Source organism: Homo sapiens, chromosome 8 (assembly GCF_000001405.40).
Source record: "Homo sapiens chromosome 8, GRCh38.p14 Primary Assembly".
Lineage (NCBI taxonomy): Eukaryota > Metazoa > Chordata > Mammalia > Primates > Hominidae > Homo > Homo sapiens.
The window spans coordinates 119,146,580-119,174,390 of NC_000008.11; the positions used below are offsets into that span (position 1 = coordinate 119,146,580).

The window sequence follows — 27,811 nt, forward strand, 5'->3', positions numbered from 1 at the left end:
ATTCCCTTGTGCTAATTGCCATCAAGACCTCTTTATCTTACCTTGAATATCTGGAATCTATGTCCTTCTCTCCATCGCCACTCATACCACCTTAGACCAAACTACCAGTGTTCCTTTTCTGAATCAATAGCCTCCTAACCATGTACCCTCCACTCTTGCCCATTTTAAATCCACACAGTGTTAAAAGTACAAATGTTCCTCAACTGACGATGGGGTTATGTTCTGATAAACCCATCATAAGTTGAAAATATAAGTTAAAAGTGAATTTAACACACCTAACCCACCAAACATTATAGTTTAGCCTAGTGTACCTTAAACATGCTCCAAACACTTACATTAGCCTACAGCTGGGCAAAATCATCTAACACAAAGCCCATTATGCAATAAAGTGTTAAATATCTCATGTTATTTATTGAATATGCTACTGAAAGTGAAAAAAGAATGATTGTACTCAATGTACAGTTTCTTTGGGATGTTTATTTCTTTTGCACAACTGTAAACTTGAAAATCCTAAGTTGAACCATTGTAAGTTGAACCATCATAAGTTAAGGACTGTCTGTATACTTAAAATATACATTGGGGTCACTTACCTGTTTCAAAGCCTGGCAATGATTTTCTACTGCACTTGGAAGAGAATTCAAATTTCCAAACTGGGCCTGTAATATCCTTCATGACCTTTCTTTGCCTGTCATTTCAGGTTTATTTTCTGCCTCTCTGTTGATATGCTGCTGGCTTTATTCACATGGATTCTGTGAACAAGACAAGGCCCTTCCCAGGGCTCCACAGAAACACCCTCTCTCTCCCACCAAATTTTCTCCCTGTTACTGCATCATTTACATGTCACCTTCTCAGAGATGCCTTTCCTGATCACTCTACTGAGAATGGGATGCACTACCCTGATCACTCTGTCATTTTTACAACTTATAACCATTTGCTTATTTGCCTCTGTACTATTTTTGGTATGTTCCATAAGATTATAAGGTCCATGAAGCAGAGGCTAGGTGCCCTGCACACATGTCTGTTTGTAGTACCTAGAGCCATGACTAAAACAAAATAAGTGTTAAATTAGTACCTGCTACAGAGCCCAAGTTCTTACTGGTCCTAAGATTCTGCAAGAACCAAAGGCTCAGGGGAACTGGCAAAAATCAAACATGAGCCTTAAAGGCCTCTCTTCTACCTGATGAGAAATTATAAAATTCTGATTTCTCTAATTTTACCATTCTTTCTACATTTCTTAGCTGTAATTCTTCCATTGCAAAGGAGACTTATGCTGCATATGTTTCATATACTTCATAATGTGGGTACTTGAAATTACTAAATAACATGAATTATGAAACTCAGACAGGAACTTTGAATAGACTTAACAAAAAAAATTCTGAGAGTAAGAGAGGAAAAATATTGGCTATTTTTCCTGCCATTCTTGGTCAAGACTCTTCCTCTTATCTAGGCAATAGAGTAACTATTACCTTCTTATGGGATCAGTAATGAGAAATTGTGCATTTTCTATTAGAATAAATTATACTTATTAGAACAGTAGGTAAGCCTCCCTACATAGAAATTACATTGAAATATCATGATTTTCTTGTTTAAGTCTTGAGAGTAATAGTTTCAAGGCTTTCTTGTTTAAGTCATGAGTTTAGTATTATTGGTAGAATCACCATGAGCTAAAATTTCTTCAAACACCAAAAGTGATTCACTTACTCATTTACCCATGAAACTTTCCCCTCTCTATATTCTCTTTATAGATAATCTAAAAAGAGAGACTTGAGGACATCATTTTAGAGGGAGAAAAAGGGAAGTGGTTTCTTTCTCACCTAAATTCTACTATTTTACCCATAAATGAACCAGTAAAATGAACTGAGCAACAGCTCTAAACACAAGTATAGCACCACCACAGATCTGGATGAATCAATCAGCCTCAAGCCATAAATCAGCAAGAGCCTGTGCAAACCAGAGCTCACTCAAGATAAAGAACACTAGTTGTGATAACAGAAAAAAGCTCAAGTTTTAGGAAAAAAGTATATAATAATGGTTTCCACCATCACATTTGCTTGGGATTGGTGTCAGCTTCTGGGGGACTGTTTAGATTTGCTTGGGAAAAGCTGGCCATATGAAGGAAGTGCTGATTCTCCTGATTGGTGGGTACACAGGAAGTTGTATGTAGGAAATCTAGATTTTCCTTACAGAATTTTTATCATAAAGACCAATGCATCCATAGGTCTACAGTATAGGAATTCATCTGCATATGAAACAACCTTCTAGGAAACAAATTACCTTAAGAAAGAAGTTAATATTGAGCCACACAAGAAGCTCAAGGCTAAATGAAGAAAGAACAAGAAAAGATTTAAAGGTACAGTCCCTCTTCTCTTTCCAAAGTCCACTGCTGGAGCCTATGCTATCACCTTAGCAAGGAATGCCATTACAAAAAGAAAGAGGAGTCAGATAAGATACTAGGAACGAGGCAATAAGTGCTACTTGGTATCTCTCTAGAGAGGACGTTTTCTCAGCATGAAGCACAGAGTGGATTTGGCTCATTAAAGACTACAGAAAACCCAATAAAGCTTTGTCACACTTAAGGTTCCAGCCCTGTAGTTCCACCAAGAATTTTGGTCAGTATCCAAAACTCCCTTGCTCTGTTGTCCTTTTGTTTTCCTACATGGCAAACGGCCAACCAATAGTCAAGAATTGAGCTATCCATCTCCTCTGTAATGGCACCGGGTTGTTGAGTACTGCTGGGGAAAGCCCTATTATTGGAAAAATTGATACCACTATGAATTTATGTTCAACACTCTCAACTGAGCCCTAAGTATGGATCTGAAGTTAATGCTGCCCCAGTACAATGCTAGTCATTGTGCACTGCCCCTTTGCTATGGTCTGAATGTGTCCCCCAAAATCATATTTTGAAACTTAATCATCAGTGTGATAGTATGAAAAGATGGAACTTTTAGGAGGTAATTAGGTCATGAGAGCAGAGCTCTCATGAATGGGATTAATGCCCTTAGAAAAGAGGCTTTAGAGAGCTTCCTAGCCCTTTCTTGCCATCCCACTCTTCCACCATGGAAGGACAGAATGTTTGTCCCTTCTGTCATATGAGTATACAGCAAGAATGCTCTCACCAGACACCAAATGCCATGGTCTTATACTGGACTCTTTAGCCTCCAGAACTGTAAGAAAATGAATTTCTGTTCTTTAGAAATTACCCAGTCTCGGGCCGGGCACGGTGGCTCTTGCCTGTAATCCCAGCACTTTGGGAGTCTGAGGCGGGTGGATCACGAGGTCAGGAGTTCGAGACCAGCCTGACCAACATGGTGAAACCCCGTCTCTACTAAAAATACAAAAATTAGCCGGGTATGGTGGTGCGTGCCTGTAATCCCAGCTGCTCAGGAGGCTGGGGAAGGAGAATTGCTTGAACCCAGGAAGCAGAGGTTGCAGTGAGCCAAGATCATGCCACTGCACTCCAGCTTGGGCAACAGAGTGAGACTCTGTCTCAAAAAAAAAGAAAAAAAAGAAAAAGAAAAAGAAGTTACCCAGTTTCGGGTATAGTAGCACGAATGGACTAAGACATCCTTCTTACAATAATTCTTCTTCTGCAATTTTCAAACCTCTAATTTTTCTTCATCGTCCCTCCTTCTCAGCAGATGAGCTAAAGAAATTCCCCAAATTCAGAGAAACACAGAAGCCATCAATGAACAGAGCCTCAATTCTCAGTCTTGGAAAGTACAAAAATCCTCAAATCAACTCCAAATTTTTTCCCATTATTTTGATGACCTTTTTAGGAAGCTATCATGTTTATTAATAATTATCTCTCCTCATCATCATCAGTTATGTGCGTCTGTTGTTTACATGTATGTATATATGTATATTTATGTATTTTCCTTCAAACCTAACTCTTCTTTCAGTTACCACCCTAACTCTTTCCCTTTCTAAAGCAAAATTTCACAGATAGTTTTCTATCTTCACTCTGTGATTCCTCACCTCTCCTGCCTATCCTAACCTACTCCTACCATTTACTAACATAGTTCTTGTCAGGTGACTAACAATGTAAACATTACTAAAAAGTATAATTTTAAAAGTAAACATTACTAAAGTATATTCTTAAGTCCTTGTTTTATCTCATCCAACAGGATTTATTTTTCTTGAACTAGTCATTTCATCTGGCTTCCCTGATGCCTCTGCTTTTGTTTTTTTTTTTGTTTTGTTTTGTTTTTTTCTGAGACAGAGTCTCGGTCTGTCACCCAGGCTGGAGTGCAGTGGCACGATCTTGGCTCACTGCAACCTCCGCATCCCAGGTTGAAGCGATTCTCCTGCCTCAGCCTCCCGAGTAGCCTGGACTACAGGCACATGCCACCATGCCTGGCTAATTTTTTGTATTTTTAGTAGAGACGGAGTTTCACTGTGTTAGCCAGGATGGTCTCGATCTCTTGACCTCATGATCTGCCTGTCTCGGCTTCCCAAAGTGCTGGGATTACAGGAGTGAGCCACCATGCCTGGCCTGCCTCTGCTTTTTCATGTTTTTCTTCTTTTTCTCTGATCAAACTAGTTTCTATTACTGGGTCACACTCATCCAAATAGCAATTGGATGTAGGAGTTCCTTGGGGCTTGGTATAGTATCCTCTGTCCACTCTCTTCCTAGGTAATCACTAACATTCTCCTACTTTTCATTACCTATTTGTCTGCAGTCCAAACCTATGTCTGAGTCCCTGGACCTACAGATCTGACTGCATTTTCATTTGAATTTCTCACAAGCACCTAAAATTTTGCTTTCCCAAGGAAGAATTCTTGCTCCTTATTCATTTCTCATGGACATTCATGAGACTGTATATTCATTCTTAATATTACCTTCCTTTTATCATCTCACACAGTCACCCAGTCCTGCCAACTCTACCTCTAAAATCTCTCTCAAACCCGTCTTCTTCTCTCCATCTCTAGTGGCAACACGCAAATACATGTCTCCATCATCTTCTGTCTGTCACAATATAATGAAAATATAATATCCTTCGAACTGGCCTCCTGCATCTAATGTTGCCTTTCAGGTCACCACTGATTCTTTAAAGAGGTCCATAGGACCTCTTTAAAACCATCATTGTGATTATAAAGGCTCTCTACTAAATTGCTTTAAAATATTCCCCTTATCTTTAGGATAAAGTCAAAAATTCCTAATATTTCTTTTAAGACTTTGCTTGAATTGACTGCAATTTACTTTTTGCTCCTCTTATACAATTGTCTTCTGATATGGTTTGGCTGTGTCTCCACCCAAACCTCACCTTGAGTTGTAATAATCCCCACATGTCAAGGGCAGGGCCAGGTGGAGATCGTTAAATAATGAGGGTGTTTTCCACCATACTGTTCTAGTGGTAGTGAATAAGTTTCACGAGATCTGATTGCTTTATAAATGGGAGTTCCCTGTGCACACTCTCCTGCCTACCATCACGTAAGACACGGCTTTGCTTTTTCTTTGCCTTCCACCGTGACTGTGAGGCCTCCCCAGCCATGTGGAACTGTGAGTCCGTTAAACCTCTTTCCTTTATAAATTGCCCAGTCTCAGGTATGTCTTTATAAGCAGTGTAAGAACAGACTAATACATCTTCTTTTCAGCCCTATTAAGCTTTCTGGAGGCTCTGAGCGTAGTATGCTCCTTTTCTTGAATGTTCATACAGGCAGTTGCTCCTGCCTACAAAGCTCTTTTTCTTTTCTGTGCCAACACACTCTTTGTGTCCCAGGTTAATGACCTCCTCCTTGAGGAAGTTTTCCTCACCATCACCATTCCCTCAGGTCAGGCTTTCCATACCCTTGTATCATAGTCCTCTGTGCTATCCTGGAACATCAAGTTTCCTCACCACCACCATTCCCTCAGGTCAGGCTTTCCATACCCTTGTATTATAGTCCTCTGTGCTATCCTGGCACATCAAGGCTCGAAAATATTTGTTCACTGACTTTTTATAGTTATATTTATTTTTTTGAGACAGAGTTTCGCTCTTGTTGCCCAGGCTGGAGTGCAATGGTGCAGTCTCAGCTCACTGCAACCTCCGCCTCCTGGGTTCAAGTGATTCTCCTGCCTCAGCCTCCCAAACAGCTGGGATTATAGCATGTACCACCATACCCTACTAATTTTGTATTTTTAGTAGAAACAGGGTTTCACCATGTTTTTCAGGCTGGTCTCAAACTCCTGACCTTAATTGACCTACCTGTGTTCACTGACTTTTTAATTCACTCCTGGTCCATACTTTAGCCTAAAAGCTACTAAATACTGATGTGAATTGGGAGTAACGGAGAACTATTTACCTTAGCATTTGTCCCGGAGTCGGTCTTAGTCAAAAGAGATATGTTAGTTGAAAATGGAAAACTCCCTTCCCCCATGCTGTCAAGAGAGGCCGTGGTAATTTGCTATGTGGCCAAATGCTGTCAAAATTCTCAGTTTCTCCTCTACTGAAATGTGGTAGCTAGGCAACTTTGATAACATTTGGAACCAACCCACACAAATTTCATTCCAAGTCCAGATCAAGTGCCAAAGCTGGTTGGTTTCATTTCAGAGACACCCTCCCTAAGGCCATGAAGATGAGCCAAATGTCTGTGAAGAAATTGTTATAACTACCTATGCTTTCAGCATGCACAGGTATAATGTTTTATTGACTTAATTATATGACATAGTGTCTGCCACAATACGTGAAAGGCTTAGGGATTCCTACTATAAAATGAGGATGTAAATAATTGTCCTGCTAATATGGCATTTATTTGAAAAACTGGCTGCATATTGCAACACTGTAAGCAAAAACGGCAGTCATTTCAAGAGGGCTTTTTGATACATGACATTTTTTCTGTAATATTGGTCCTGTAAGTACATTTAAAATGAAGTAATGAATCAAATGTCTTGTGCATATATACTTTGACTGAAGATAATGATTTTACGATGGAAACAGCTACTGCAACAAGATTATTCAGGCAAACCTTTATCTTTCCATGGATTCAAATTAGCTGAAGCCTGGACATACCACTAAGGGACTCTCTGGATGTCACCAACATTAATATGATTGAGTTATCAATTTTAAAGATTGATAATGACAGCTGAATGTTCTGTCCCCTCAAAATGTTCTAATGTGAATTGATTGAGTGCTTCCTTGTAAAGAGAGAGTGTTAAGTGAAATACTATTTATTCCATGATACAACTGTGTTTTCATACATAATTAAAACTTCCCATTTGGGCAAGAAGAGTGCTGTGATGGAGTTGGTTGATTAGAGATTCCTTTTTAAATGAATTATTAACCTAGCTAGTCAATTATTTTTCTACCTTCTAATTTTATTTTGCCTGATATTATAAGCACATTCTACCTTTCCATAATATTTTTGATTAATCTAGAAAAAAGTGTTTTATTTCTAACAAGGCCATATATATTTTGTTCTTTCCAAAATCTATCCATAAATGGGAAAAAAAATCTCATTATACTGTGTGATTATCCTTAGTCTCTAATGGACTATTAGCCTGGGATTTGCTCAATAAAGCAAACATACCACTATAAAAATAATGACTATATATTTCTCAGACTCACAAAATTATATATTCTCGATGACAAGCTCTTTTAAAAAGCAATAAAATATCCAAGTTTTTAAATACAGCTTCAATTTTTAAAAATTCTTCCCTGACTTATTTATGCAAAATTAACAACTGAAAGTTCTACTCCACTTTAGTATATGCTTTAGCTGGTTTTAGAATAAACATATTTTTCTAAATCTGTTTAACACAAATAGCAGTAGTTAATTTAACAGATAGGAATTGGGGCATGTCTGTCACTTATATGACAACAGGATCAGATCCAAAAAAAGTTTGGTACCAAGTAATTGAGAAACTGCCTAAATGCATTTTGGGCTTTGATTTCTGAACAATTTTCAAGAAGTTCAATCCTGGGCCAATTATGCAGTATCATGCTTGGAAAACAGGAAACTGCCTTAGAGGAATTTGTTACCATCATTTATAAGATATCTCAGACAGCTCATTCAAGGATAGATAAGGTGTTTTTCTCTGAAGCAGCTGTTATTGTACTGGAAAGCAAAATATTCACAAGACTAGGATACGGAGCTTGGCTCCCCCATGTACTATTCCCATGTATAACCTTGGGCAAGTCATTTAATGTCCCAGGTTCAATTTTATCATCCTTACAAAGTCTATAATAATACCTGCTTCAAAGGATTGCTATAAGGCTCATATAATATAATAAATGGAAAAGTGCTTTCTGTTGTAAAAGACTCAACTCATCTAAGAGATAATGGTTATTATTTTCCATACACTAGTCCTTGCTGTGGTATTAGTGAATTTATGACCTTGGATGTTGAGTTGTAAAGACCCTCTAAAGAGCCTACAACCTTTTCATCTTGATTGTAGGCGTGAATAAATAAATATATAGAGAACATCTGAGAACCATTAAAATAAAGTAAATATGACACATTTGGAATAAGATGGGTTTATGTGCAACCTTTGAACTTTTATATATCATCTACAGCAAGCTAAAATTTGTGATATTAAATATTTGGACATTTTATTTGTGCTTATTGGTTTGTCTTTCTTCATATACAGATATGTCCTGAAATTTTACATACAAATTGACTCATATTTAGTTATATTGAAAGGAGGTTACTACTAGATTAAAGAAATACTGTGGTAAATCTTTTATAGAATAAAGAATCATTCAGTGTTGAAACATGACGGTCTCATAAATTTGGATTTTTTTTGTGCCTAGTGTTCTAAATGTGAGAATACAACTTCACTAGATATGTTTTTCCTTTACTCGGGAGCCCTATACATAAACAAAAAGTATCTACATTGTACCAAGAGATGATGTAAATAAAGAATTAAAACACTGTCATTTGAATACTCTATTATTGAACTCACTGTCTGGGTGTGAAAACATTCTAACCAGTTCCATACCACCCACTGAACAGCATCCTTCCCTTCTGCAAGTGGAGTCATAGGCATCCTTTGGGCACTGGCATCTGGGCATCAGTACCTGAATGTCAGCACTGATATGATAGATACTGCCTTTTAACTTCCCTTCCTATCTGGTTTACTCCATTTCGGTTACATATGGTTGAAGACTCTGGCTTTTGAGTCCCTTTTTTGTGTTGTTATTTTTGTTGTTTAGGACTGGTTTATAAGGGTCAGAAGCTTCCTTTGTATGACCTCTTAGTTCCCAACTTCTCCTTTGCCCCTCACTTCAATCCCTTTCAATTTAGTTCCACTTAGAGCTAGGTAAGGACAACACCCACTCTTCAATCAACCCCAACTTCAGGATCCTTGGGTCTTCTGTTGTCCCTGGAGTGGGGTTTTATGGATTCTTAAATTTTTTAAGGCTTTCCTAAGTGAAGTTTATTTCTAATTGAAAACTACAGCAAGTCAATGAGAAACTGGTTGAGCCAAAGAATAGACATTGATTTGAAGATCTGTAACCACAAAAATAGCAAATACACCCCAGGGTCCAATTTGCAATTGAAACCCCGTTGTCTCCAGAACATACTTCATGTCTTCTCTCTATATGTTGGCCTCATTTTCTTAGGAAAGATTTTCCCCACCAGCAGGAAATAGAGAATCTGGCAACTCCATCTTCAGTCATTTAGAGTAATCACAAGAAAATGACTGACCCCTGATGTCTCTTTTCCTAAATTAAAAAATTAGGGAGAAGTTCTCTAATTTGGTCAGTTTAAGTGAAGGGTTTATACCTAGACCAGTCAACAAACATCAAACAGTAAGTGGTGTCACTTTGGAGTTCTTTACTCATCCTTAGACCATTAAGTGTGGGAGAAACATCATTTTCTAGAGGAAGGAGGTGAGAATTGCTGGATGAGCAGGCAATACTCATTCACTGGGATAAATATTCATTTGGCATATTATCTTTTTTGGTCTTTTTGTTTTCCTATATCTCTCCATTGTCCCCCTGGATTTTGTTTATGTCAAAGTTTTCTTTTTTTCTTTTTTTTTTTTTAATTCTCAATGTTTTTAATGTCTTAAATTGCTAAATACAGATTAGTGTTACCATCTTTTTAGATTTCAGTGCACCAGCATGGCACATGTATACATATGTAACTAACCTGCACAATGTGCACATGTACCCTAAAACTTAAAGTATAATAAATAAATAAATAAATAAAATCCAAAAAAAAAAAAGAAAACTTTGTCAAAACATTAAACCCTCTCTTTCTGTTGCATTGGCATAAAGAAATATGTCAAAGTTTTCTTAAGATTAAGGTGACCGATGGAGAGAAAAAACAAACGAATCTGACAAAAGCTTTGTTAGGAGAATTAACACTTTCTGAATACTGGCCAGTTTTCAGAAATTTCTTCTATAATCTTTTCTTTCCTTCCCCCAGAACAATCCTGAAGTAAGAGATCTCCATTCCCAGATAAACAAATTCATATTCAGGGATGATGAATAACTGCTTTAGGATGATAATGCTAGCAAGAACCAAGTTGGAACTGATAAACCCAAATATATGTAAATGAAAATGGAAATTGCAGTGGGGCTGGTGCAGATAAGATTCAGGGGACAATTGTGAGGAAAAAGTGGTTTCCAGGGCTCATCTTTACCCTCCAACTCCACTAAGGAGATTTATTCCTTTGCAGGGATCAAGTCCAAGAACAATTCAGGCCATATTATTGGATTATTAGTATAAGAAGTATAAATACATAAATTCTCTCCTTTCTTTTCTTTGGGATCTATTTTACTCACCACATAGTGTTAAAATGGAAAGTTGAGATTAGGGTGTAGACCTAGAGAAATGGGGCCAAGTAGAACAGCTGTCCTGCTGACTATAGTCCATGTTAAACGCTTTCTCATGGCATTGTATGGTAAGAAGACTCTATTGGGATTTGGCAGAAAGTATTTTAAAAATAAACAGAATGACTTTTTCCAAGAATATCCCTTTGACATAATGCCTTCTTGAATCCATGTAGGTGTTAGCCAGCTATTGGAGGATTCCTGGATCTTGGGTCCATGTCAAATGCCACTGCATTCCAAGTATGAATTGGCAAGAGATGGCTACACATACAGTACATGAACAATGAAAGGATACTTACTTTGTATCCACAGAAAACATTTGAAGCCCTTCTTTTTATTTCATTACATTTAACACACACCCAATATGTGTAGTCTTATACCTGGCTCTAGGTGTATAAAGATGTGTTCCTTCCCTCAAACAGTATGGTGGATGTACTTTGATGCATTCCTCAGTTTAAAACTTTGAATTGATTCCACTATAATTTTGTGATATGACAACCAAGTATGGTGAGTTTTTGGCATAGATTACAGGCCAACTCTGACAACAGGTTGATAAAGTAGCTAATATCACTCCCCTATTGTTGATGATGGAACTAGCCTGAAAGTGAATAACTGGCCAAGGCAGGATTTGAGTCCATCTACCAGGCTCGGGAGCACACACGCTAGTCCCATTCCTCCCTGCTCCCATGCTAAGACTTCAAGCTGGAGAAGATGTCTTTTCTTTTCTATTCTTCTCCATGTATAAATTTGGCTGAGACCTGGGAAATAAATCCAGAAATGTGCCGAATGATCTAAGCACAGACATCCAATAAAATTAATTTGTCTTTGATACTGCATTTCATGTTTGTTCAATATTTACTTTATAATAAAGTTGTAAAAGGTCATGGTCTAGAAAACTGAAATGAAATTAGAAAATTTGTTTCTATCTAATTTCCAAGCCTAGAATTCCAATCAAGAGTTAACTTGGGTATTAAAAGTGTTTTTAGATGGAAAAACATGGCTCATGTGAACAGTAATATGCAAATGAAGTGATTCTGATGTAAGAACAATATTGATTTTTATTCTTGAACTCAGGTCTATTCTATTTTAACAGAGAACTTCTCAAATTATATTGAACAACATTATATTGACCAAATTTTCATTTTACCTTTCCAATATTTTTATTACGTATTTCTGATCTCTGCCTAACATTTAGCCAGGCAAACTGCCATCTGCAACCAACATCACTTTAAACTGGAAGGCCCTAATAAAATACCCTAACTAACATATATTGAGTTCGTAAACATTCTGCAAAACTTTTTGGTATAAATTTTCTTATTTAATCCAAAATGTAACAATTTTTGATAGATTATATAAAAGTATCTGAGACAGGTGTCAATCAATTTAGAGATTTATTTTGCCAAGGTTAAGGATTATGACCTGTAACACAGCCTCAGGATGTCCTGAGAATATGTGCCCAAGATTATTGGGTTATGGCTTGGTTTTTTATATGTTTTAGGGAAACCTGAGACATTAATTAATACATGTGAGGTATATATTGGTACAATCCAGAAAGGTAGGACAACTCAAAGAGGGGGTGGTGGGTGGAGATGGGGGTTCAGGTCATAGGCAGATTGAAAGATTTTCTGACTGGCAATTGGTTGAAAAATTTAAGTTATTATGTAAAAGCATGGAATCAATAGAGTGGCTGGATTAAAATAAGAAGTTGTGGAGACCGAGGTTCTTATTACGTAGATGAAGTGTCATAAGTAACAACTGTTAGAGGCAGTAGATGGCAAATGTTTCCTATTCAGACCTTTAACCGGTGTTAGAGTCTCCACTAATCTCCTCAGAAAAAGACCCGGAAAGGGAAAAGGATTCTTGATAGAATATAAATTTCCCCCACAAGACACAGCTTTGCAGGGCATTTCAAAATATGTCAAAGAAATATATTTTGGGGCAAAATACTTCAATTTCCTTCATGGCCTGCTATCATGTGATGCTCTACTAGAGTCAGATTGGAATTTGATAGCTTATTGCTACAAATAGTCTACTTTGTCAGTCTTAGGATCTCTATTTTTTTTTTTTATTATACTTTAAGTTTTAGGGTACATGTGCACATTGTGCAGGTTAGTTACATATGTATACATGTGCCATGCTGGTGCGCTGCACCCACTAACTCGTCATCTAGCATTAGGTATATCTCCCAATGCTATCCCTCCCACCTCCCCCCACCCCACAACAGTCCCCAGAGTGTGATATTCCGCTTCCTGTGTCCATGTGATCGCATTGTTCAATTCCCACCTATGAGTGAGAATATGCGGTGTTTGGTTTTTTGTTCTTGCGATAGTTTACTGAGAATGATGATTTCCAATTTCATCCATGTCCCTACAAAGGACACGAACTCATCATTTTTTATGGCTGCATAGTATTCCATGGTGTATATGTGCCACATTTTCTTAATCCAGTCTATCATTGTTGGACATTTGGGTTGGTTCCAAGTCTTTGCTATTGTGAATAATGCTGCAATAAACATACGTGTGCATGTGTCTTTATAGCAGCATGATTTATAGACCTTTGGGTATATACCCAGTAATGGGATGGCTGGGTCAAATGGTATTTCTAGTTCTAGATCCCTGAGGAATCGCCACACTGACTTCCACAATGGTTGAACTAGTTTACAGTCCCACCAACAGTGTAAAAGTGTTCCTATTTCTCCACATCCTCTCCAGCACCTGTTGTTTCCTGACTTTTTAATGATTGCCATTCTAACTGGTGTGAGATGGTATCTCATTGTGGTTTTGATTTGCATTTCTCTGATGGCCAGTGATGATGAGCATTTTTTCATGTGTTTTTTGGCTGCATAAATGTCTTCTTTTGAGAAGTGTCTGTTCATGTCCTTTGCCCACTTTTTGATGGGGTTGTTTGTTTTTTTCTTGTAAATTTGTTTGAGTTCATTGTAGATTCTGGATATTAGCCCTTTGTCAGATGAGTAGGTTGCGAAAATTTTCTCCCATTTTGTAGGTTGCCTGTTCACTCTGATGGTAGTTTCTTTTGCTGTGCAGAAGCTTTTTAGTTTAATTAGATCCCATTTGTCAATTTTGGCTTTTGTTGCCATTGCTTTTGGTGTTTTGGACATGAAGTCCTTGCCCATGCCTATGTCCTGAATGGTAATGCCTAGGTTTTCTTCTAGGGTTTTTATGGTTTTAGGTCTAACGTTTAAATCTTTAATCCATCTTGAATTGATTTTTCTATAAGGTGTAGGGAAGGGCTCCAGTTTCAGCTTTCTACATATGGCTAGCCAGTTTTACCAGCACCATTTATTAAATAGGGAATCCTTTCCCCATTGCTTGTTTTTCTCAGGTTTGTCAAAGATCAGATAGTTGTAGATATGTGGTGTTATTCCTGAGGGCTCTGTTCTGTTCCATTGATCTATATCTCTGTTTTGGTACCAGTACCATGCTGTTTTGGTTACTGTAGCCTTGTAGTATAGTTTGAAGTCAGGTAGTGTGATGCCTCCAGCTTTGTTCTTTTGGCTTAGGATTGACTTGGTGATGTGGGCTCTTTTTTGGTTCCATATGAACTTTAAAGTAGTTTTTTCCAATTCTGTGAAGAAAGTCATTGGTAACTTGATGGGGATGGCATTGAATCTGTAAATTACCTTGGGCAGTATGGCCATTTTCACGATATTGATTCTTCCTACCCATGAGCATGGAATGTTCTTCCATTTGTTTGTATCCTCTTTTATTTCCTTGAGCAGTGGTTTGTAGTTCTCCTTGAAGAGGTCCTTCACACCCCTTGTAAGTTGGATTCCTAGGTATTTTATTCTCTTTGAAGGAATTTTGAATGGGAGTTCACTCATGATTTGGCTCTCTGTTTGTCTGTTGTTGGTGTATAAGAATGCTTGTGATTTTTGTACATTGATTTTGTATCCTGAGACTTTGCTGAAGTTGCTTATCAGCTTAAGGAGATTTTGGGCTGAGACAATGGGGTTTTCTAGATATACAATCATGTCATCTGCAAACAGGGACAATTTGACTTCCTCTTTTCCTAATTGAATGCCCTTTATTTCCTTCTCCTGCCTAATTGCCCTGGCCAGAACTTCCAACACTATGTTGAATAGGAATGGTGAGAGAGGGCATCCCTGTCTTGTGCCAGTTTTCAAAGGGAATGCTTCCAGTTTTTGCCCATTCAGTATGATATTGGCTGTGGGTTTGTCATAGATAGCTCTTATTATTTTGAAATATGTCCCATCAATACCTAATTTATTGAGAGTTTTTAGCATGAAGGGTTGTTGAATTTTGTCAAAGGCCTTTTCTGCATCTATTGAGATAACCATGTGGTTTTTGTCTTTGGTTCTGTTTATATGCTGGATTACATTTATTGATTTGCGTATATTGAACCAGCCTTGCATCCCAGGGATGAAGCCCACTTGATCATGGTGGATAAGCTTTTTGATGTGCTGCTGGATTCGTTTTGCCAGTAATTTATTGAGGATTTTTGCATCAATGTTCATCAAGGATATTGGTCTAAAATTCTCTTTTTTGGTTGTGTCTCTGCCCGGCTTTGGTATCAGAATGATGCTGGCCTCATAAAATGAGTTAGGGAGGATTCCCTCTTTTTCTATTGATTGGAATAGTTTCAGAAGGAATGGTACCAGTTCCTCCTTGTACCTCTGGTAGAATTCGGCTGTGAATCCATCTGGTCCTGGACTCTTTTTGGTTGGTAAACTATTGATAATTGCCACAATTTCAGCTCCTGTTATTGGTCTATTCAGAGATTCAACTTCTTCCTGGTTTAGTCTTGGGAGAGTGTATGTGTCGAGGAATTTATCCATTTCTTCTAGATTTTCTAGTTTATTTGCGTAGAGGTGTTTGTAGTATTCTCTGATGGTAGTTTGTATTTCTGTGGGATCGGTGGTGATATCCCCTTTATCATTTTTTATTGTGTCTATTTGATTCTTCTCTCTTTTTTTCTTTATTAGTCTTGCTAGTGGTCTATCAATTTTGTTGATCCTTTCAAAAAACCAGCTCCTGGATTCATTAATTTTTTGAAGGGTTTTTTGTGTCTCTATTTCCTTCAGTTCTGCTCTGATTTTAGTTATTTCTTGCCTTCTGCTAGCTTTTGAATGTGTTTGCTCTTGCTTTTCTAGTTCTTTTAATTGTGATGTTAGGGTGTCAATTTTGGATCTTTCCTGCTTTCTCTTGTGGGCATTTAGTGCTATAAATTTCCCTCTACACACTGCTTTGAATGCATCCCAGAGATTCTGGTATGTTGTGTCTTTGTTCTCGTTGGTTTCAAAGAACATCTTTATTTCTGCCTTCATTTCGTTATGTACCCAGTAGTCATTCAGGAGCAGGTTGTTCAGTTTCCATGTAGTTGAGCGGTTTTGAGTGAAATTCTTAATCCTGAGTTCTAGTTTGATTGCACTGTGGTCTGAGAGATAGTTTGTTATAATTTCTGTTCTTTTACATTTGCTGAGGAGAGCTTTACTTCCAAGTATGTGGTCAATTTTGGAATAGGTGTGGTGTGGTGCTGAAAAAAATGTATATTGTGTTGATTTGAGGTGGAGAGTTCTGTAGATGTCTATTAGGTCCACTTGGTGCAGAGCTGAGTTCAATTCCTGGGTATCCCTGTTGACTTTCTGTCTCGTTGATCTGTCTAATGTTGACAGTGGGGTGTTAAAGTCTCCCATTATTAATGTGTGGGAGTCTAAGTCTCTTTGTAGGTCACTCAGGACTTGCTTTATGAATCTGGGTGCTCCTGTATTGGGTGCATATATATTTAGGATAGTTAGCTCTTCTTGTTGAATTGATCCCTTTACCATTATGTAATGGCCTTCTTTGTCTCTTTTGATCTTTGTTGTTTTAAAGTCTGTTTTATCAGAGACTAGGATTGCAACCCCTTCCTTTTTTTGTTTTCCATTGGCTTGGTAGATCTTCCTCCATCCTTTTATTTTGAGCCTATGTGTGTCTCTGCACGTGAGCTGGGTTTCCTGAATACAGCACACTGATGGGTCTTGACTCTTTATCCAATTTGCCAGTCTGTGTCTTTTAATTGGAGAATTTAGTCCATTTACATTTAAAGTTAATATTGTTATGTGTGAATTTGATCCTGTCATTATGATGTTAGCTGGTGATTTTGCTCGTTAGTTGATGCAGTTTCTTCCTAGTCTCGATGGTCTTTACATTTTGGCATGATTTTGCAGTGGCTGGTATCGGTTGTTCCTTTCCATGTTTAGCACTTCCTTCAGGAGCTCTTTTAGGGCAGGCCTAGTGGTGACAAAATCTCTCAGCATTTGCTTGTCTGTGAAGTATTTTATTGCTCCTTCACTTATGAAGCTTAATTTGGCTGGATATGAAATTCTGGGTTGAAAATTCTTTTCTTTAAGAATGTTGAATATTGGCCCCCACTCTCTTTTGGCTTGTAGGGTTTCTGCCGAGAGACCCGCTGTTAGTCTGATGGGCTTCCCTTTGAGGGTAACCCGACCTTTCTCTCTGGCTGCCCTTAACATTTTTTCCTTCATTTCAACTTTGGTGAATCTGACAATTATGTGTCTTGGAGTTGCTCTTCTTGGGGAGTATCTTTGTGGCGTTCTCTGTATTTCCTGAATCTGAACGTTGGCCTGCCTTGCTAGATTGGGGAAGTTCTCCTGGATAATATCCTGCAGAGTGTTTTCCAACTTGGTTCCATTCTCCCCATCACTTTCAGGTACACCAATCAGACGTAGATTTGGTCTTTTCACATAGTCCCATATTTCTTGGAGGCTTTGCTCATTTCTTTTTATTCTTTTTTCTCTAAACTTCCCTTCTCGCTTCATTTCATTCATTTCATCTTCCATTGCTGATACCCTTTCTTCCAGTTGATCGCATCGGCTCCTGAGGCTTCTGCATTCTTCACGTAGTTCTCGAGCCTTGGTTTTCAGCTCCATCAGCTCCTTTAAGCACTTCTCTGTATTGGTTATTCTAGTTATACATTCTTCTAAATTTTTTCCAAAGTTTTCAACTTCTTTGCCTTTGGTTTGAATGTCCTCCCGTAGCTCAGAGTAATTTGATCGTCTGAAGCCTTCTTCTCTCAGCTCGTCAAAGTCATTCTCCATCCAGCTTTGTTCCGTTGCTGGTGAGGAACTGCGTTCCTTCGGAGGAGGAGAGGCTCTCTGCGTTTTAGAGTTTCCAGTTTTTCTGTTCTGTTTTTTCCCCATCTTTGTGGTTTTATCTACTTTTGGTCTTTGATGATGGTGATGTACAGATGGGTTTTTGGTGTGGATGTCCTTTCTGTTTGTTAGTTTTCCTTCTAACAGACAGGACCCTCAGCTGCAGGTCTGTTGGAGTACCCTGCCGTGTGAGGTGTAAGTGTGCCCCTGCTGGGGAGTGCCTCCCAGTTAGGCTGCTCGGGGGTCAGGGGTCAGGGAGGCAGTCTGCCGGTTCTCAGATCTCCAGCTGCGTGCTGGGAGAACCACTGCTCTCTTCAAAGCTGTCAGACAGGGACACTTAAGTCTGCAGAGGTTACTGCTGTCTTTTTGTTTGTCTGTGCCCTGCCCCCAGAGGTGGAGCCTACAGAGGCAGGCAGGCCTCCTTGAGCTGTGGTGGGCTCCACCCAGTTCGAGCTTCCCAGCTGCTTTGTTTACCTAAGCAAGCCTGGGCAATGGCGGGCGCCCCTCCCCCAGCCTCGCTGCCTTGCAGTTTGATCTCAGACTGCTGTGCTAGCAGTCAGTGAGATTCCATGGGCGTAGGACCCTCCGAGCCAGGTGTGGGATATAATCTCGTGGTTCGCCGTTTTTTAAGCCGGTCTGAAAAGCGCAATATTTGGGTGGGAGTGACCCGATTTTCCAGGTGCGTCCGTCACCCCTTTCTTTGACTCGGAAAGGGAACTCCCTGACCCCTTGCGCTTCCCGAGTGAGGCAATGCCTCGCCCTGCTTCGGCTCGCGCACGGTGCGCGCACCCACTGGCCTGCGCCCACTGTCTGGCCCTCCCTAGTGAGATGAACCCGGTACCTCAGATGGAAATGCAGAAATCACCCATCTTCTGCGTCGCTCACGCTGAGAGCTGTAGACCGGAGCTGTTCCTATTCGGCCATCTTGGCTCCTCCCCCAGGATCTCTATTTTAATGTTAGGGCTGGTCAGTAGTGTCTAAACTCCAAAAGGGAGAGGGTATAATGAAGCATGTCCAACCCACTCTTCCTGTCGTAGCCTGAACTAATTCTTTAGGTTTCTTTGGAGTCCTCTTGGCTGAGAGGGGGTCCATTCAGTTAGTTTGGGGGCTTAGAATTTTATTTTTGGTTTACAAGCTGTTCTTACCTGAACACTTATTTTATGAAAGGTACCATGCTAGACAGTATTGAGACTAGAGGTTAACAAGACCAAAATTCTATTCTCATGGAGTTTAAGCTCTAGCCTGTGGACAAATTTCTTTCATTTCATTCAACTAATTTTTACTGAATCCTTATCAAGTACCAGGAACTGCACAATACCACTTATTCAATAGGCTAGAAATTAAAAATTCAAAAGATTGTTATCCTTTAGAGTAATCACCTGGGGAAGCTACATACTAATTTTTTTCCAATGTTGGCATTGCTCAGAATATTTCTAGAATCAGTATATTTGCAATTTGATTACTTCTAAGTATATTTAAGTCTTATCAGGGAAAAAGCTATCATTACTTTAAACTTACACTTTGTTTTAAATCTGTATGTTACATAATATATATTATACATACTATACATATATTATACATTATGTGTGTGTGTGTATATATATATATATATATATATATATATATCTAGCTTGATCACTTACCCTACATACAAAAAGTGACACTGTATGACATTTAACAGTATCAACAAAATTAAATCTTTTCTTAGAAGATTAAGATGTGTCATTCTCTAAGGAATGTGTGGCTGGCTCTGAAAGAGGTATATGAAAGATACTTTGAACACCAGTGGCATTGTTTTGGTTTATTTCCCATGCCTACCCAAGGTGATTACCTTATGGACACTTGTAATTTACCTGGATAAATTCTAGTACATTTACCTAAAAATGAAATCTGTAATCATATAAAAATCTGTGCTTTTATACCTCATTAACTTGCTTATTCATTCAATAAATGTTTACTGAACCTTCACTTCATGTGAAGGTCTGAACTACGTGTTGTGAACAAAGCAAAAAATAATAATAAGCCATGTCTAAGGTAATTCAAAACCCAGTGTTTTTGCTTTAGTAGTTTGTAAATTGTGCAAATATCCAACTGAATTAAACTGACTCAGATCAAACTTCTGGCAAATGTTTAGTTTCTCCATTTGAGTCTGCTTTATATTCTAATAAGCTTCCATTCTCCCTTTAAAGGTAAACAATAGAGAAGGAAGAAAAAAAAATGTTTCCTGGATATGTATCTAGGCATACCTGCAGGAGAGCCATGACCCTTCAGCATACAGAGCAGAACCCCTCTGGAGGGGTCAGGAGGAACATCTCCCAATGCCTAGTGTCTAAGTCCTAACTCTTCAAAGAGCTATTGAGGAAGGTTATCTCTGTTGCAGGTTCTTCTGCATCCAAGTATATCAAATTCTGATCACCCTTCAAGTATTCAGCCTATTTACACACTTCATTCTTCCAAAATGTATTCGTTTACTTTAAAGAAATCTGTACTACTTGGTATGGTTTCCTCTAATCCTTTAGATTTATATTTTTAAAGTCTTTACACACTATTTCAGCTGGGTTATGTCTGTATTAAGTAAGTACAGCTACATTGCAAATTAACCTCCAAACTACAGAGGCTGTTAAAAGAAAATCTCAGGTAAATTAAATTTAACAGAGCTTAATTGAGCAAAGAATGTTTCACAATCAGGAAGCCTTCTGAGCTGGAGTAGGCTCATAGAGACTTCAGTGCATGCAGCCACATGGTGGAAGAAGATACATGGACAAAAAAGGGAAAGTGACGTACAGAAAATGGAAGGGAGGTACACAAACATGGATTGGTTGCAGCTTGGCATTTGACTTATTTGGACACAGTTTCAACAGTTGGCCACCTTTAACTGGCCAAAACTTGGTGATTGGCACCAGAGTAGATAGTTCATGTATACATCCAGTTAGATTTCAGTTTACTATGTTCAGAGAAAACTTCAGGCTGAGCTTAAAATATGAAAGGAGGCAGCTTTGGGCTAAACTTAATTTAACAAGGCTTAACTAAACAGATGTTTATTGTAGGTGAGCAGAAAGCTCCACTTCACCTGGTAGTTTAGGAAATGTACAATTTGGATGTCAGTAGGACACAGATGGCACACATGTGACAACATTTAAGGACAGATTAATAAAGGTACCATTTACAAGGTGTGGGCAGTGTAAGAGAAACCACAAAGAAAACTGCAGTATCTCAGGGCTAACCATAATAGGCCAACCCTAATGCCTAAAGTGGACAAAGGAGGGAGAAGATACCGGAATTTAGAAACAGTATAGAGAGGGCTACCTAAAAGGAGCAGTAAAATTTGTTCAGGGGGCTCAGACAGCCTGCAGCAACCTCCCAGAGAAGAAGTCAGTAATAAATATCCTGACTTTACTGTATTCCCCATTTCAGTCTCCTGCTGGTGGTCAACAATCATACATACAGCCAAAAAGGAAAGGAGTCCTTTATGTGGCACTTATACAGACCAGCTTCCTGGGCACACAGGAAGGTGGAGAAAAGAGAGAAGAGAGTGTAAAAGAGAAAATATCCAGCACTGGAAACTGAGTTGACCTGAGGCTGTATGCCTTGTACATGACAGGAGCCCTATAACTATATGCTGAATATCACTGAATTAATTATCTGGGGCTTGTGTTTAAAGAAAGGCACAGAATGGCTATGCAATAAATATTTACCAATTCACTCATTCTAATGATTCCATGATCATGGACTCCTCTGAATAAGCTCCACTTACAATCACAAACTCCAAGTATAAATGTTCATCCTTTCTACTTTTGATGCACTCCAGAAGAATAGGTTAAATTGTAGTAATCTATCAGCAGCTTTAGTTATGTGCAGTGACTATCAACGTGCCTTGTAAATAGCTGGCTTTCAACAAGTACCACTTTTGACTAAATTGAATCAAAAGTTCCATTTAACTTGCACAGTGTTATACCTATGGGAAAAGTGGATCCTGAGTGCCCCTCACCATCTATCTCATTTCTGGAGTGTTAAGAAAGAAAATTGCAAGTGAGCATTGCAAGGAAAGCCTGAACATCATTGCTTCCCTCAATAATAAAAGGGATATTGCTCCATGATAAAGCATGCCACTTGAGATCAGACAGAGCCCATTCCCTTAACTTTCGGCATCTTTCATTTGCCATGTAAACTTGGTCTCTTGGTATTTTCAAGCTCAACTAAATACACCAGAGTAAAATATCTTAGAAATTTATATCTTAAAACATTTACAGTGAGAAATGTACCAGCATCATGCATGCTATCTCAAAAGGCTATGTCAACAGCATCCATTGTAACAAAAACCTTGAGTCCTCAATTAGTGCATTCAAGTTGCAAGAAAGGCAGAGATACAGCCACCAACTTTATTATTCAAAACTCACCTATCATATTTTCACCAAAACGTGTTTGATTTGGCCAAGTAATGGATTTTAGGAAATTGTTCGCAATACAAATAGGATCTAAAATCTTATTTACAATGATAGGATAATAATTTAAATGTGTTAGTTCTACCTTAATAATGTATTAGTACCCCAAACAAGCTTGGTATACAGTTATTTTATTTTCAAACAGACCCATTCTCTTTGCCTTTTGTTTCCCATGACCTTCATGAACTGTTTAAACATACAGGCCTTGTAAAATATCAGTGTTCTGGCAATACTTTTCAGCTCCTATGCTTCCAGAAAACATAACTTACTACTTTGCAGGATAAATAGTTATCAGCAGAACCATGTACTTTTCATAAAAAGTGAGGCTTGCTGTGTTCAGCTGCTCTAGGAATTCCTTTCATGAATTTCAAGACACGGACCCTCCCTAGCTAGTATCCTATACCTCAGAGACTTCCATATGACACAGACAGACAGACACACACACACTAGTTTTTCATGTTACCTCGGGCTGCTAATGCCTCTACCAAGACTACTGTTTTCAAAGGCAATGGGTTTGAAGTCACACTGAGCTTGAATCTCATCACTGTCACTAGCCAGAAACACAACCCTGGGCAAGCTACTTAAACCTCTGTGTCTTGATTTCCTGATCTGTAAAATGAGAATAAAAATAGCATATACTTTCAGGGCCATTGGCAGGATTAATGAAATAATTCTAGAAAAACACTTTATAGGATGAGATGCATACTCCTACTTCCTTTTTATAAGTCTGTCTTTGTTCACAATCCAGGTGTGTCTATTTTATTCACAGGGCAAGAAGTTGCAGGAAAAATGGCTTCTAGCAGTGGAACTTCCTCATACACGTGATCTGTTTCTGATTAGAGAACTGCAGGAGGTGAAAATTGGGTTCAAGGTAAGTCCCTGACATTTAAAATACTCTTCTCCTTAGATATGTATATTTAATGCACCTTTGTTGAGAACTGTTAGGTTCAATATTATAAAATTGCCAGTGATTTATGTCTTAGTCCATTTTGTGCTGCTAAAATAGAATACCTGAGACTGGATCATTTATAAACAATAGATTTTTGTTTGGCTCACAGTTCTAGAGGCTGAGAAATCCAAGATCCAAGGGCCTACCTGGGGAAAGTCTTCTTGCTGTGTCATACTTAGCAAAAGGTATCATATTGCTGGTGAGAGAGAGGGAGGGAAGAGGGCCATACTCATCCTTTTATCAGTCTACTCCAGTCCACTCCCTCAATAACTAACCCACCTCCAGAATAATGGCATCAATTCATTCATGCGGGAAGAACTCTCATGACCTAATCACCTCTTAAAGATCCCACCCTGTATTAGTCAAGGTTCTCTTAGAGGATTAACTTACGTGATCACAGGGTCCCACAATCAGCTATCTGCAAGCTGACGAGCAAGGAGAGCCAGTCTGAGTCCCAAAACTGAAGAACTTGGAGTCCGATACTAGAGGGCAAGAAGCATCCAGCATTAGAGAAAGATGTAGGCTGGCAGGCTAGGCCCATCTCGTCACTTCGAGTTTTTTCTGCCTGCTTTATATATGGCGGCTGATTAGATGGTGCCCACCCAGTTAAGGGTGGGTCTGCCTTCCCCAGCCCACTGACTCAAATGTTAATCTCCTTTGACAACACCCTCACAGACACACCCAGGATCCATATTGCATCCTTCAATCAAGATCATACTCAGTATTAACTATCACACAACTCTCAACACTTTTTGCATTTGGAATTAAGTTTTCAACATATGAACTTTGGAGGACACATTCAAGTCATAGTAGTCTAATATGTTGAATTTCATACAATTCATTATAATGTCATGCCCCAGGCAAAAAGTTAAGGATGCCAAAATGAGTAAGACAAAGGTGAACCCTGTCCTCACAAAGCTGATGATCCAGGTAATGAGGCAGGGATGCTGTCAGGGAGAGGGGTAAGTAAAGGGTGTTATGGCAGGGAATAGCATCTACCCATACACTAAGCTCAAAGGGATACGGGTGGGGCAAGAGGCCAGAAGTGTTCAAGGAAAATCTCTCCTCATGGAACCCAAATGACTGGGTCATAAGTGTTTTGGGTGATGATTTGTTACAGTAACTAGTTTCCTTTGGTTATTGTAACAAATCATCACAAACTTAGTGGTTTACAACACACTCATTAATTTTCTCACAGTTCTGGAGGTCAAAAGTCCAAGATTAGTTTCACTGGGCAAAATCAATGTATAGGCAGGGTCAAGCTCCCTCTGTAGGATCTAGTGGGGAGTATCTTTCCTTGACTTTTCCAGCTTCTAGAGCTGAAATGCTTGCATTGCTTGGCTTGTGGACCTCCTCATTTGTCTTTAAAGTCAGCAGCATTGGATTTTGTTTCAATGGTCACATTGCCTTCTTCTATGTGTCAAATATCCTCTCTCTTTCTCCTATATGAATGCTTATGATTGCATTTAGGACCCACTTGGATAATCCAGTTTAATCTTCTCACCTCAAGGTCCTTAATTTAATTATATCTGCAACGTCTCTTTTGCCATGCAAGGGTAACATTCGCAGGTTCCAGAAATTAATGCCTGGATATCTTTGGGAACCATTATTCAGCCTATTACACAAAGGGTGAAAGCTAATTAATTTCAAGAAAAGAAGTTAATGGGTTGTTGTTAGAGGACAAATGAAGATCCAGTCTTGGGGGCTGAGCAAAGTAATTTGGGAGGATATAACAACCTTAACCGAGATGAACCAAATGAAGAAAAAGGAAGGATATTAGCAAGGCAGATGTTAGAGCCTGTGCAAAGGTTCAAGAAAAGGAGAGCGTGGCATATTTAAAGACTTAGGAAAAGTGTTTCCTGGGTTGAAGTTAGAGTAAAAATAATGGTGGAGATAAGGTAAAAGAGGAGGCTGTTGGGGTATGCATGGAATAGCTCATAAAGAACATCATAAGTTATGCTAAGTAGACTTCATCCTATGGGAATGAGAAGCCAGCCATTGAAAGTCTGAAAGCAGGGGGATGATTTGATGGGTTCTATGTTTCAGAAAGCTCTCTCTGTTCACCATGTTGGAAAAAAAGGATTAGAGGAGGACAAGACAGGGTAGGAAGACTGGCTAAAGGCCGGTTGCCATTATTTATCCTAGAACTGAGGGGGTCTTGGATTCTGTGCAGTCTAGTCCCTGGCCCCTGGGTATATTCATTTCACTTCCAAAAAATCCTTTTGAAATATATTTAAAACTAATTAAATGTGGTATCAGAAAATGATTTCCACTTGTATTAGGATTTCTGTCATAGTTATCTAGTGGGTAACAATGCTATCAGTTCAAGTTAATAGTATATATTAACTCTAACCTGAAAAACTGGCTTTTTACTCATCTAAAAATACTACTAAGCAAAAGCCTCATGAGGACCTCTTGGTAAACGACTGAAATAAGGGGCTAAAACTGAGTATGATTTGGATCCATACTACTCTTATCTTTCAGATATAACATTATTAGTCACCATTATTGTTATTATACATCTGGAACCTAAGATGTTCCTAAGTCCAGAACAGGTAACTGAACAAAATGTTGCTTAGATGTATAGAGTCATTAATCATGTAGATTCATTACATGATCTTAAATGTATAAATGTCTTCATTTGAATTTCCCACAAGACAAGAGCCTTGGACAAATACTTCAAAGCATTGTTTTATTTGGTAGTAATCTCAAGAAGCAGAAGGTAAGGAGTAGGGAAAATGAGATGGTGAAGAAGAAAAAATCAATATAAATGTGTTTCGAAATTACTGCTGTGGATGAATAGACTAGTTTTTGCTATGACCCCTTAAGAACCTGCAAGATGGGAGGCTGGAGAGTTTATCATCCAGAAGCAAGATCTTGATGGTTGAGAGTTGAGTCTGTGAGTATTCACTCCCTCACATTTACGGGGAGGCATTTGTGCAGGCTGAGAACACCCCTCAGGATTAGAAGGCCCTGGGACATGATGTCAAAGGATATCAGAACAAGCTAGGGAGTTTGAACTGGCAGAGAACCTCTCCCAGCATCTGTGACTGGTATAGAAATGAGCCAAAGCATGGTGATGTAGGTATCAAAGGCACCTGCTAGAGTGAAGAGTCTACCCTGGAATCATGAACAAAGTTTTTGCAGGTATATGAACTTTGCCATCAATTCACAACACAATATGTCTAGATTTGACTCTCATAGGATCATTTTCCCCTCAAAACCTGATCCTGAAATTTTGATATGATGTCAGCAAAGGATAATATGGTTCTTTGGGAATGGAGTCAACAGAAGTAAATTTCATTATCCAGATCACGGGATATATCCCACAGAAAAGAATAAAATGAAAAGATAGGTCCAAGATGGGACCAACAATAGATTGAGTCAAAGGGAAAACACTGACTAGGGAGGGTGTTAGCAATATGAATCAAAGCCCAGGAGATTATGGCAGACTCAAATCCTTTCTGAACAAGAGATGAGGTTCCTATGTAGATGAGGGTCTGAGATCATTAAGATTTCAGAGTATGAGAAACAGAGTAAGGGGGTATATCAAGGGTAGAGAGTACTAAGTACTTCCCACTGAGAGCAGAAAGAATAATACATTGGAAGGAAGAATATCAATAGAAGGGAAAAAACAGTTATTAAGTTTTTCTACAGGGTAAAGATGGCAAAGAGTTTATCTAAAAATAGGTCACTCACCAGGATTGAAGAGGAGATAACTGACTGAGAGATAGTAAAGAGACAAATTCAGTGATATTCCAACATGGATTAGATGGGGCTAGTAAGCACATCTCCCCAACTAGAGTTCCAGCTTCTGAGAAACGATGACTATTTCTTTATAATTCTGAATTCTACAACTGACATATTATAGAGACTTAGTGAATATATGTTGCATTAAAAGAGCAGGGTTTCTAACTTTATCTACTGAGTCAGTAATAGCGTTATCCACCAAGATATGTAATACAGGAAAAGGAGCAAAATTATGAGAAAATATGAAGTTGGCTTTGGACAGTTTGAGTTTGAGATGCCCATAAGCACCCAAATGGATATATTTAGTAGGCAATTAGATATATGCGAGTTCAGGAAACAAGCTCAGCTGGAAATATAAATTGGGAAACTATCTGCATGCATGGCAGAGGCTGTCAAAATTGTGCAAACAGATAAGCTTTCTTAGGGAGCATAGACTGAAAAAAAAGTTGAGGCTCAAGAATAAAACCATGGAACACCAAAATTCAAGGAATGTTAAAAAGGAGCAGCCAGAAAGATAGGAAAGAAGGGAGTCATGGAAATAAATTAAATACTGCCGAGGTAGACTACAGTGAACTTTTTTTTTAACCGTTAGATTTAGTGATAAACCTTAACAGGAGCAGTGGAGTGGAATAGCAGGACAGGAAGTCAGACTGAAATAGATGAAGAAGAGAAGAGATGACAAAATCACAATTGGAAATACAAGCCTCTTTTTCTGGAAGTGTGCAGCAATGAAAAGAAAAAAAATCATGTTAATAGCCAGAAAGAGAGAGAGATTGGT

General features: G+C 38.6%; 1 long non-coding RNA gene across 1 annotated transcript in view, besides 2 other annotated features; it reads left to right on the forward strand.

Annotated features, from left to right (window-relative positions):
• The first annotated feature begins 5,414 nt into the window (after positions 1-5,414).
• Positions 5,415-27,811, forward strand: part of LOC105375725 (uncharacterized) — a 51,661-nt gene continuing 29,264 nt past the window's right edge. The window contains exons 1-2 of the long non-coding RNA XR_928585.3: positions 5,415-5,500; positions 23,104-23,205. This is a non-coding gene — a long non-coding RNA (uncharacterized LOC105375725). The remainder of the gene's footprint in view (positions 5,501-23,103; positions 23,206-27,811) is intronic.
• Positions 17,970-18,585: an enhancer, noted in NCBI's record as "OCT4-NANOG-H3K27ac-H3K4me1 hESC enhancer chr8:120176788-120177403 (GRCh37/hg19 assembly coordinates)". NCBI's record gives its function as "activates a minimal SCP1, AML or CMV promoter by ChIP-STARR-seq in naive and primed H9 embryonic stem cells {active_cell/tissue: H9 hESC(naive and primed)}" and the evidence as "EXISTENCE:reporter gene assay evidence [ECO:0000049][PMID:30033119]".
• Positions 22,855-24,054: an enhancer, noted in NCBI's record as "MED14-independent group 3 enhancer chr8:120181673-120182872 (GRCh37/hg19 assembly coordinates)". NCBI's record gives its function as "activates an origin of replication core promoter dependent on BRD2, BRD4, P300/CBP and CDK7 cofactors, and independent of MED14, by STARR-seq in HCT116 cells {active_cell/tissue: HCT116}" and the evidence as "EXISTENCE:reporter gene assay evidence [ECO:0000049][PMID:35650434]".